Source organism: Homo sapiens, chromosome 8 (assembly GCF_000001405.40).
Source record: "Homo sapiens chromosome 8, GRCh38.p14 Primary Assembly".
NCBI classification, from domain to species: Eukaryota; Metazoa; Chordata; class Mammalia; order Primates; family Hominidae; genus Homo; species Homo sapiens.
The window spans coordinates 100371192-100383883 of NC_000008.11; the positions used below are offsets into that span (position 1 = coordinate 100371192).

The 12692-nt window shown below is 41.5% G+C and overlaps 1 long non-coding RNA gene and 1 other non-coding gene across 2 annotated transcripts in view, besides 1 other annotated feature; both read left to right on the forward strand.

Moving 5' to 3' along the window:
* LOC124901991 (uncharacterized) overlaps nt 1-10733 on the forward strand; it is a 45617-nt gene extending 34884 nt beyond the window's left edge. Inside the window, exon 2 of the long non-coding RNA XR_007061030.1 lies at nt 10455-10733. This is a non-coding gene — a long non-coding RNA (uncharacterized LOC124901991). The remainder of the gene's footprint in view (nt 1-10454) is intronic.
* Nucleotides 11383-11482: an enhancer, noted in NCBI's record as "active region_27692". NCBI's record gives its function as "activates an Ori minimal core promoter by ATAC-STARR-seq in GM12878 lymphoblastoid cells {active_cell/tissue: GM12878}" and the evidence as "EXISTENCE:reporter gene assay evidence [ECO:0000049][PMID:35858748]".
* Nucleotides 11572-11654, forward strand: MIR4471 (microRNA 4471). The gene has a single exon (NR_039681.1). It is a non-coding gene; the product is annotated as a microRNA 4471 (primary transcript).
* The last annotated feature ends 1038 nt before the right edge of the window (nt 11655-12692 follow it).

Below are 12692 nucleotides of genomic sequence, written 5' to 3' on the forward strand. Positions count from 1 at the left end.
TTTTTGTTGCACATATTTAAAGTGTATGACATGATATTTTGATATACATATGCATAGTGAAATGATTACTACAGTCAAACAGACTAACATATCCATCTCCTTACATACTTTTCTTTTTTTTGGTGGTGGTGGTGGTAAAAGCACCTGAAATCTACTCTCTTAGCAAATTTCCAGTATGCAATACAATATTATTAACTCCAGTCTTCATGCTGTACATTAGAGCTGTAGAGCTATTTATCCTACAGAGCTGCAACTTTGACCAACATCTCCCCATTTCCCCCTTTCTCTTTGGAATAGTTTTAAATTTACAGAAAAGCTATAAAGTTAGTACAGAGTTCTTATATTACCACCCTCTGCTCTTCCAGTTTCCCCTGCGTTAGCATCTTTTGTTAGTAATGGTAGATTTGTCACAATTAATCAATATTGACACATTATTATTAACCAAGGTCAATGTTTTATTCGGATCTCTTTAGTGTTTACCTAATATCCTTTTCCTGTCCCAGGATCCCATCCAAGATCCCACATTACATTTCATCATCATGTCTCCTTAGACTCCTCTTGGCTGTGATTGTTTCTCAGACTTGCTTTGTTTTTTGTGATCTTGACAGTTTTGAGGACTACTGGTTAGAATGATTCCTTTTAATTTTTTCCTTTTGCCCCTTTTGTTATTTGATTTGCGGCAGTTAATAATTGACAATAAACCACTGGGATATGCTTCTCAGATTGTGAGTAGACTTGTAAACAAACTCCTACAAATGTGAAATTTAGAACCCCTGGATTGGGAGAGCCAAGAGCATAAGCCAATTCTAAATGGACCAGAGTGTGGACAGCGTTACAAGTGCTTTACTCTTTTTGTTTGTTGGTTTTTTTTGTTGTTGTTGTTTTTTGAGACAGGATCTCACTCCATCGCCCCGGCTAGTGTGCAGTGGCGCAATCTCGGCTCACTGCAACCTCCACCTCCTGGATTCAAGCGATTCTCATGCTTCAGCCTCCCAACTAGCTAGCATTACAGGCATATGCCACCATGCCCAGCTAATTTGTGTGTGTATGTGTGTGTGTGTGTATTTTTAGTAGAGGCAGGGTTTCACTACATTGGCCAGACTGGTCTTGAGCTCCTGGCCTCAAGTGATCTGCCCACCTCGGCCTCCCAAAGTGCTGGGATTACAGGTGTGATCCACCATGCCTGGCTTTACTCTTCTTTTTGCTTGTACTGCTTTGCTTTTTGCTTTTGTGATTTTTCTCTTTTACCTTGGGAAATGAGATTTTTCAGCTTCTTACATCCCCCTGTGAGTCCTGTTTAGATTCAATCTCCCCTCTGTATCAAAGCCCAGTGGGACCTGACTTTGGCAAACACTTGTGCTCTTGGGGTCTTCATCTCTGCTCTGTCTTAAAATGGAGAAATGCTTTGCTAGGCTTATTCTGGTCTTTTAGCAATCCCTATTTCTGAGCTTCGAATCTTGCTATGAGGTCCTTAGGTACCAAGGTTTTGCAGCTCTTCTCTGGTATTAACATTACAAAGGCTTGTCTTTCTGTTGATCAAATAAGACATGTTAATCAAGTGAAGATGCAGGCTTTTAAAAATATTTAAATAATGTCCTTGGCTTTTTCTACCAGGGCTGTCCTTGTTGATTTTTATAGTCTTTCAACATTACAATTGTAATGCTAAAAAAAATTGCTGTTTCTTTCTTTTTTAAGGGATTCAATGACTTCTTTTAGATAATTCTAACTCTGTAGCTTTGTTTGCCAGACAGTCAAATCTTGCCAAGAGTTTTGAGCTCATCCCTGTCAACTGGTTAGTTCCTAAACTGAGTAAATATTAAACTTTTTCAACAATAGTTGCTTGATCAATCCTCTTCCCTAGCTGGCGTTATTGCCTCTTGCTGCCATCTTGTCAAAACTGTTAAAGCTTTCTTGAGGAGGAGATGATATGCTTATGTCAGTTGCAGAAAAAGCAGGAGTATTTATAAATTTCTGTTAAATGTTTCCCTTTCTGGCTTTTGATGGATTCTCCTGTCTGGAACAAACTTCTTTATGACGTTGCTTAGCCTTAGCCTTTTCACTGCCTCCCTCATTCTCTTTGGCTCTTTTTTTTTTTTTTTTTTTGAGACTGAATCTTCTCTGTTGCTCAGGCTGGAGTGCAGTGGCACAATCTTGGCTCACTGCAATCTCCGCCTCCCGGGTTCAAGCGATTCTCCTGCCTCAGTCTCCTGAGTAGCTGGGATTACAGCCACTCGCCACCATGCCCAGCTAACGTATTTTTAGTAGAGACGGGGTTTCACCATGTTGGCCAGACTGGTCTTGAATTCCTGACCTCAAGTGATCCTCCTGCCTCAGCCTCCCAAAGTGTTGGGATCACAGGCGTGAGCCACTGTGCCTGGCCTTCTTTGGTTCTTTCTTTCCCCTTCCTCACCTAGTTCCACCTTCTCCTTACTTGCTCTTCCATGCTGGGATAAGGTGTGATTAAATCAAATAAAATGAAAGTGTGGAGACCACTGTGCACTTGGAAACTTTCCAGGGAGTATTGGCTGTTTGTTAATTAAAAGAATTTCCAACCTGGGACTACATTTGGGAAAAGAGTGAAGAAGGGGAAGGGCAGGGGTTTGGTTGAGTATTTCTTTTCTTTTTCTTTTTTTTTTTTTTAAGACAGACTCTCGCTCTGTCGCCCAGGCTGGAGTGCAGTGGCGCTATCTCGGCTCACTGCAATCTCCTCCTCCCAGGTTCAAGCAATTCTCCTGCCTCAGACTCCCGAGTAGCTGGGATTACAGGCGCCCGCCACCACGCCCAGCTAATTTTTTGTATTTTTAGTAGAGACGGAGTTTCACCGTGTTAGCCAGGATTGTCTCAACCTTCTGACCTCGTGATCCTCCCGTCTTGGCTTCCCAAAGTGCTGGGATTACAGGCGTGAGCCACCACGCCTGGCCTGGTTGAGTATTCCTAAGTGAGGAGGCTTCTGCTGTGATTTGCTTATACCAGGGGCTGGCAAACTTATTCCGTGAAGGGCCAGATGGGAACTATTTTAGGCTGGCGGGCCATACGGTCTCTGTTGCAACTACTCAGCATGGCCATTGTAACAGGAAAGCAGCCATAGACACTATGTAAATAAATGAGCATGGTTGTGTTCCAATAAAACTTTATTTATGGACACTGAAGTTTGAATTTCATACAGTTTTTTGTGTGTCATGAAATAATATTCTTCCTTTGATTTTTTTTTTCAAAAATGTAAACGCCATTCTTATTTCATGAACCACACAAAACCAGGGGGAGGGATGAACGTGGCTGGCCTGTAGGTTCTAGTTTGTGGACCCCTGGCCTGTGCCAAGAGTTCAAGATCTTTCTTATACCAACCAGTCAACCAACTACCAAACTAACAACAAACAAACCATGCGGCAGGGTTAAAGTGGTTAAAGGAGTTCAGGGAGGGTGTCTTATAGAGGATTTTGTCACTTGGGTAGATAAAGATTCCCTCTCCGGTCGGAGGGAACCCTGGCATGAAGGGACAGAGCTGTGCCACATGCCTTGGGCCTGGTAAGGCTAGAGGGTGTTAGCTGGGGCCACTGACACAGGAACACAGCACCTCATGGGCACCCTTCTATTAAAAACACTACCTTTGGCCGGGCACGGTGGCTCACGCCTGTAATCCCAACACTGGGAGGCCGAGGCGGGCAGATCACCAGGTCAGGAGTTCAAGACCAGCCTGGCCAACATCGTGAAACCCTCTCTCTACTAAAAATACAAAAATTAGCTGGGTGTGGTGGTACGTGCCTGTAGTCCCAGCTACTCAGCAGGTTGAGGTGAGAGGATTGCTTGAATCTGGGAGGTGGAGGTTGCAGTGAGCCGAGACTGCACCATTGCACTCCAGCCTGGGTGACAGAGTGAAACTCTGTCTCAAAAATAAAAATAAAAATAAATAAATTAAAACACTATCTTTTATGAAGCATTCACTGTGTGCTAGCTACTTTCCTTGAAATTTCTGATTTACTCTTCACTCTCCTATCCAGTAAGTGTGATTGTCCATCTATAAGGGATATAGAGCTGTTGAATGCCTTGCCAGAGTCACATAGCCACTAAGTGGCAAAAGTAGGATTTGAACCCTGGCCTAGCATACCCCCTAGTTGCCTTCCTTTCCCTGCTCCATATTGCTATTTCTAGGAAAGATCACAGAAAATCAAGGCAGTTACTGTCTCTATAATCTCATTCTGTCAGGACCACCCAAAAGTAAGCTTCACCATTCCAAATAGGAAACAGCTTTTCAAGGTTGCCCAGTAGCTGTAAGGATCAGCAGTCCTTCTAAGTTGCTGACTTCCTTCACGTGTTACTTTAAGGAAGGAGGCAAAAGACAGAATGGGAAAGAGCACTTGAGCTTGACTCCTGGCTCCTGTTTACCACCTGTGGGACCTTGACCTTGGGTGATGCATTTAACTCCATGAGGCTGTTTCCTTATCTGAAAAATGAAGAATAACAGTAACTGCCCAGCTGGGTTGTGAGAATTAAATGAAATGTGGGTGCAAGCCACCTGCATGGTGCTTGTCACAAAGGAGGTACTCAATCAATACTGACACCCTTCAAGCAGTCATTGTTTTCTCATTCATGCTATTAGCATCTGTTGAGTGGCTATTATGTGCCAGGCACCTTGAGATAAACAGATGAGTCATAGTTCCTGCCTCCAAGGAGCTGACAGTCTAGCAGAGTAACAGGCATATATACAACCAAGCTTGACAAAGTGCCACAGGAATATGTGGGGGTCACAGTGAAAGCACAAAGGAAGGACTGGATATTTCTCAGTGGATGGATGAGAGGCACAGAATAGGCTTCAGTGAGGAGGTAACAGAGTTTATATCTGGGTAACTCAAGCTGATCCTGCACGATTTCTGTGGCTGATCACTCACCAACATAAATCTTGTCTCATGGAAAAAACACAAAGAACAACAACAAAAAAAAACAATACAAAAAAACTTTTCCTAAAAGGACTTAAAAAATTCTATGAAAATTTTGGAAAGCAAAACAGGAAACCCAGTTATAGGCAAGGGCAAACACTCCTTGCTTCTCAAGTCTCTTTTGCTTGTTGCAGGCAATGTTTCCTGCCAGGATGTTGATCAAAGAGAGGAACAGCCTGAACGAGAGTCATTTGTTCCTTGTGAGCTTCTTTAAAAAGAATCTGATTTCATTTTTTGCACATTCTCTGTGGCTTTAGGAAACACCTCCTATAAAAATAGAAATACGCAAAAGAGGTTCGGGAAGAAGTGATTCCTTCTGGGACTAAACTGTCCGTATGTGACATTGGCATACTGCCTTGAGTTTGCAGAGTAGATAACACATTACAGTGCAAGGGTGCTGGGGGCAGGCTGCCTGGGTTTGAGTTCTGGTTCTACCATTTACTAGTTATGTGACCTTATGGTTTTTGGGAGAGACGAGATGATACATGTAAAGTGATTACCATGTATCACGATAATCTGGCCCAAGAATTGTTAACATTTTCCTGTCAGTTCTAGTTTGGAGAGACTGTCTTGGATTCCCCCATCCCAACCCACAGAATTCTGCAGTTGAGTGGGAAGGTCAGGAAGAAGGGGTCAGACATGGTGCCACCTCAGGCTAAGTTCATAGAAGGAGACTTTGTAATAGAACTCAAAATCAAAAAGAAGAGGGAAACTTTTATAGGGTAGTAGGTATAGGTAACCCAGAGTTAGTTTAACAGGAAAGACATATGACCTGGTGAGTGCTAATGGCAGACGACTGATCAGAAAAATGACACCTTCAGTGAAAGCCACTAGAGGAAAGGAAATACTGTGGAGATGGCCCAATTAGAGAAGTAGTAATGTTGACTCCTGGGTGGATTTCCCCTCCCAGGGGAGAGCTACAGACACCCTCTGAGTCAAAGATGAGTAAAGCCCGGGAAGTGTGAGGGGTGGGGAAACAAAGCAAATACAACTTTCACAGGTTTATTTACTTATTTATTTATTTTATTTTATTTTTTGTAAGACACAGGGTCTTGCTCTGTCACCTGGGCTGGAGTGCAGTGACATGATCATAGCTCACTGAAGATTCAACCTCCCAGTGATCCTCCCACCTCAGCCTCCTAAGTAGCTGCGAATACAAGCACTAGCTACCATGCCTGGCTAATGAGATGGATCTTGAAAGATGTAGAGAACACTGACAGGCAGAAGTGGGGACAGCTTCCTTTTTAAGGAGAAGGGCAGTCCCAACCAAGCAGAGGGAGTAGTAGAGAGAAGGCTGGGGAGGCAGGGTGGGTGCGGCTCATGGAGACCTTCTATACTGGGCCAAGGAAGTGTCACTTGGTTTGAGGGAAATGGGAAGGCATTGAAGATTCGCAAACATGGGTGGCAGGGTGTGGGTGACATGATTCAGCTGGGACTTTCAGAGATCATTTATCAACTACATGTGGGACAAATTGTGAGGAAGAAAGAATGAGTAAGGAGAAGTTACAAAACATTTTTAATAGGGTAGGTGAGAGATCATACTATAGAATATAATTTTATTTTTTGTATTACTGAGGATGAGTTTGTCTGCAAGTAATGGAAAACATCCCAAAGAGAAGCCTACACAAAATATGGCATTATTTCTGTCTCATGTGAAGGACTGGCATGGCAGATTTGCCAGGTCCCCCACCCCACTACCCCACCGCCATCCTTAGGAGAGCCTGCTTCCCATGTCCCGGGAGGCCATATCAGCAAGATGGAAGAGAGCAAAGAGCAGACACAGGGTGTCTTTAAAGGAAGGTTCCCAGAAACTTCCATGTGATACTTCTGCCCCCATGTCATTAGTCAGAAGGTAGCAACAGGTCAGGTGCGGTGGCTCATGCCTGTAATCCCAGCAGTTTGGGAGGCCAAGGCAGGCGGATCACTTGAGGTCAGGAGTTTGAGAGCAGCTTAGCCAATATGGTGAAACGCTGTCTCTACTAAAAATATAAAAATTAGCTGGGCATGGTGGTGCACGCCTATAATTCCAGCTACTTGGGAGGCTGAGACATGAGAATTGCTTGAACCCAGGAGCTGGAGGTTGCAGTGAGCCAAGATTGTGCCACTGTACTTCAGCCTGGGTGGCAGAGTGAGACTCTGTCTCAAAAAAAAAAAAAAAAAAAGAAGAAGTAGTTAGCAATAGGGCCACACCTAGCTAGCAAGGGAATCTGGAAAATGAGATTTGCTGTCTGGATTTCCACATTCCCAGCTGATAAACCAGGGATTCTGCTATGAGGGAGAAAGGAAGAATGGATATAAGGGATTTGCTGGCATTTTCTGCCATAATGTTATAAAAATCAAAGAAACAAAGATAAGAGACTATAATTTCATAATCACTGAAAATTATTCTTTGGATCTTAATGAAAAGAAAATTTTAAGTGAAGGTTGTTTCCTAGAATCTTGCCTTAAAGCTGATTACCCTTGAGACAAAATAATCCCTCACTCCCAGATAACACTGGATTTGACTCAAGTGGCCAAGGCTATCCAAGGCGGTGAGAGGGTCAGTTTGTCCAGGTCTTCATGACCCTGCCTTAGTAATCCTCTCTGAGTTGTTTCAATAGGAAAGTAAATTCCATTATCATCAAGCATTGCTAAATTCAGGGAATTGTAAACCAACAATGTGTAAGCATTGTGAAAGCTCTGTCCTTAACAGAAGTCCAGCTTTGCAGTAATGTCCACACTCCATTTCCTTGGCTCTGAAGTCAAGCAGCCAGCTTCCTTGGTGCACATCTCATCATAGGCAGCCTGGTGCATCTCTCTCCTCTACTTTCTTCCCTGACCGCCACTGCCTGCAGAATCTTCTTAAGGCACGATTGACAACATCTGACTGTGCTCCACATGTTCTCATGGTTCTCAAATGCTCACTACCTTAAAACAACTCCTTGGCCTGGCCTCCCAGATCCTCCAAAATCTTACCCACCCTCCCAATTCAACCAGATGTTCCTCTGAGATATGGCGATTGCATTCTGGGATTTTGGGGAAAATGGGAAGGCATTTTGTACTCTTCCTCCTTCACTCTGTGCCCTTTGCCTCTTGTTGCTATCACTAGTTGATTGGTGGTCCATTCACTTAAGTGACATATGGAGCTTTGTGCTTAACATAGAGATGGATTTCCAACTGGAATGCTAAGAACCCCAGAGAAGAAACATGCCTGTGTTTAAATGTATGAAATTATATTTATAATGATAAGTATATACTCACTACTAGCATGAGGAAATAAATCAATGTCCCAACCAGAAAAATTTAAAATTTTAAGTATAAACAAACCATTATTTCTTTCTTAACTTTATTAAGGATAAAGCTATCTTGATTCTGTCTTATTCCAATTGATTCTCACTTATTTTAATCCAGGAAGGCTTTGGGATTTGATTGTCATGTTCTCACTGCTCTTCCATTGCTGTTATGATTCATAACCCACTCATTCATTCATTTATTCAACAAATACTTATTCAGTGTCACTTATGGGTTGCTGAAGATACGTTAGAAAATGTTCCAGCTTTCATGGCATTTACATTCTAGAGCAGTGGGTCTTATCCACAGACGATTTTGTCACCCCTGGGGGCTGGGGGGAAATGTGGCAATTTCTGGAGATAGTTTTGATTTTCATGAGTTGGGGAGGGGCATTACTGTCATCTAGATGGTAGAGTCCTGTGATGCTGTCAATGTAGCCCCACTTTTCCACACCCCATACTGGAGCACTGTATCCCCACCCCCACACCTCAGAACTTGATATAAGCTGCTCCTGTCCTTCACCGGGTTCACAGTTAAGATGATTATCACATGATAGGCACCAAGACGCCAGGTGTCTATTCCACCTGTTCTTCAAGAGCATCCACTTCCCCAAGGGCCTCTCTGTTCCTTCTCCTGTCCCTTTGTCCCTTGGTGGTGGGGACACTGGCCTTATTTAGTGTCTGTTCTGCTCTCTATCTCAGCACCAAGTGGCCAGACATCTCCATTATGGTGTAGCCTCTCCATTGTCCTCTTACGTCTTCTTATGTGCACCCTCTGTCCACACAGGGCCCTGCTACCCATCTTGAATCTCTGTCAGACCCATATCCTGTTGCTGGGCCCTACCCCTGCTCCTCTTTGCCCTGTTTTAGACAGAAATCCAGGAATGACCCTGATTCTGCCCATTAGTCTCACTACCTCTTTCCCATATGACTCGACAGCTTACCTCTGGGAGGAAGTAGACTTCCAAGCAAGTCCCTTCCTCTGGGGACTGCAGCTCAGGTTCCGGTTTCTTAGCTCCTCTTGGCTTCTTGCTCTTTGTTGCCCCCCTACCCCTGGCCCTTACACTTAAAATGTGTTTTAGGCCTTCAAGCTTAGTCTATAAACCTGGTTATTTTATTTGTAAATATAGTGATTTTTATATAAAAATGAGAACAATTGCTTTTCTTGTTTGATTAGTGTTCAATCAACTTACAAACTTAAAAACATTAAATTTCTTCAAACTGACCATCTTTATACATGTAAAAAGATTTCCTAAAATATTTTTAACTATCTTTACAAATTTAATAACTTTGACTTTCTCAAACACTTCAAATGCCTGATGGGGCAACATTTACAAACAAAGCAAGAAAAATCCTTCAATATCTCAATGAACTCTTGTAATAATACTAGTTTATACATGTAGTAAATTAGATTCTTCTGAATATTCAAACACTTTTAAAGAACATATTCAATTATTCTGCAACTTTCAAGTGAAAATTACAAATTGAGTATTAGTTTATCATTCCAAAATAAAATCGTAAGGCTAATATGTCAGATTATCTTAATCATTTTAAGCTGCTTAAATAACAAAAACAAGCTGATTGCAATGATTACAAAACTTACTCCTAAAGCTTAACACAAAGTATTGATACTATGAGTTTGATTGGCTTCAACGTCCATTTTCTACACCTTTTCCATTGAAACAAAGTTATTTTTACAAGTCAAGGGGAGCAAGAAGGTATTTCATGCAGGCTGGAGTTATTTGTATAACTGAGATACTGATGATCAGTTAGATTGTAAAACTGGGAGTTTTTCCAGGATGGTTTTATCCGAGCAACAGATTAAACACACTGAGCTTCCTTTTATAGTTGGCTTGGTTCTGCCTACTGTGTCACCAGGGAAGGAGTGTGCTATGTGTCCCCAGAGCATTTTTCAAATTTCACCCTCATCCTATTTTTATCATAACTTCTTTCACAATTTAACACATAATTTGGGTAGGTAGAATTCTGCAGACTACCTTGGCATGTAGTCTATCTTTTTGTTAACTGAATTTTCTCTCCCTCCTCAGGTTGTAAAATTCTTTTTCTTTTGCCTTCTTATCTGTTTCATTGTTGCAGAGATTGACTAAGTCTTCATCAAATCTGTTTTTCTTTGCTTCTTGGGCACAGAGCTAGACTCCATTTCCCAGCTTCCCTTGCAGTGAGTGTGGCCATGTGACTGAATTTGGGCCAATGAAATATGAGTGGCCTGACCCCCTATCCTCTTTTGCAGGCTTGATGCAGGGCAGCAGGGCAATCTTGGAAGCTCCATATTGAAGATGGTGGAGGCACAGTTTGAAAGGAGTCTGGGTTGGAGGAGAGCTACAGGCAGATCAGGAACACCCATCTTGGATTTGACCTGAGTGAAAAATAAACTGCAATCATTATGTTAAAACACTTACATATTTGGGGGGATTTTTTGTTTATCTTGTGAAAATGCTCATTAACCTCTATTGTCATAATAAAAATCCTTAAAGTTGGTGCTAAAAATAAATGCAATTTTGAAAATTCATGTGATGTTAGTTACTACTGCATATCCTGAGTCAACGCTAGAAAACATCAAGTGAAGCAGAGGGTGTATTATGGGACAGAGTCACTCTTGGATGTTACATAAAAATCTGACTGAATTAACTCAATCTTTTTTAATAGGAACTAATGTCATGTGACTTGTGTACCTTTTTAAATAACTTTTTTAAAAAGCAACCAAGAAAACAAAAATAAGCAGCCCATTGACAATTAAATCACCTACAATATTCATGAGATTAAAATAAACCTGTTGCTCAGTTACAAATATTTGGGCTCCCATGAGCAGACAGAAATTTTCCCCCAAGGGTCCTAATAAACAGGAAATTACATGATACAATAGACTCATATCCTTAGTAGACAAAACAATGTCAACTACCCAGACTCTCCTAAAGAAACCACACACACATGTTCAAGGGAGTAATTAAAAAAATTTAAAAACATAGGTTTCTTTTTTCTTCTAAAAAGTATACTTTTCTTTAAAATGGTAAGGGTGTATTAGTGCGATGAAGATCAATAAGGCCTCCATTTTTTTTTCTAGTTTGGTTATTTCACACTCTGCTTTTGGCATTTGAGGTTGCTAAGGTTATGGGTTTCTAAAAGTATTGTCCTTATGCACAAACGGACCTGTCATCAAACAGCTTTTGACCCTATGCAGTCAGAGTTTCCCTTTCCTTCTCCCACACCAACTAATTCTGCCATGTGTGGGTTGCAAGTGCACCAGGCAACAGTTTAATCTAAATGAAGTGATCACACATTAGATTTTGAAAATGAAACTTACTCATAAATATATTTCTTTCAAAATGAATTTTGTAAATCTTTTCCTTCCAAATTTAAAACTTAAACCTCTACTAAGTTTCCATGAAAAGAACCCATGGGAACTTAGTAGAGGTTTAAGTTTTAAATTTGAAGGGAAAAGAGTTATAAAATTCATTTTGAAAGAAATATATTTATGAGTAAGTTTCATTTTCAAAATCTAATGGTGCATGCCTGTAATCCCAGCTACTCAGGAGGCTGAGGCAGGAGAATTGCTTGAACCTGGGAGGTGGAGGTTGCAGTGAGCCGAGATCACGCCACTGCACTCCAGCCTGGGAGACAGAGTGAGACTCCATCTCAGAAAAAAAAATAAAAATGAAAAACCATGGGAACAATAAATACAGACTTTAGGCAGTGCTGAAATATACGGGAGAGAGACAAAGAGGACATGGTGGATATTTAGGTAGACGTATTAGAGTAAATACTAGTAAAGCAAAATTCTTTCCATGAACTATATCTGTTAGCAAAACTCTGACTAAAAGTAAATTCCACAAATAGGGGTTTATGTTTCTCAAACAACATGAAGGTTAAAAGTACAACAATGGTGCTGATTCATCAGCTCAGTGATGTGATGCCAGAGCTAACAATTTGACAGTTCTCTTGGCCTTTCCTTATCATAACAAGATGACTGCCTCAAGAAGGCTGCTGTGGCTCCAGGCATCACACCACTTTCAAGGAAGAGGAGAAGAAGGGGGTCACACTGGGAATATTTCCCCCTTTTATCAGAAAAGTAAAAGCTTTGTATGTGTAACTATGTCATATGTTTTTCCTAGCTGCAAGAGAGGCTGAAAAAAGCATTTTAGAATTGGAGGTAGGCAAGTGGCAATGAGAAGGTATATCAGCCCAACAACAGTGGGTGCCACTGAGTGCATGGCTGGCAGTACTCATGCTTTGTTGATCTCATTATAATGAATTCTTGAAGCCAGATAATGTACACAACACAGCATGCTTTCTCAGCCCACGTTCATATAAGAATCATGTAGAACTTCATGTTTTAGAGGAAAATAATGCTGAACATTCCCATTAATTATGTCTTGCCATCAAGTAAGTAGTGACTATCCTTCAGGCCATCTCCTCCCTCCCTATCTCAAACACTCAAATATTCACAATTAAATTCTACTTAAACTCTCCA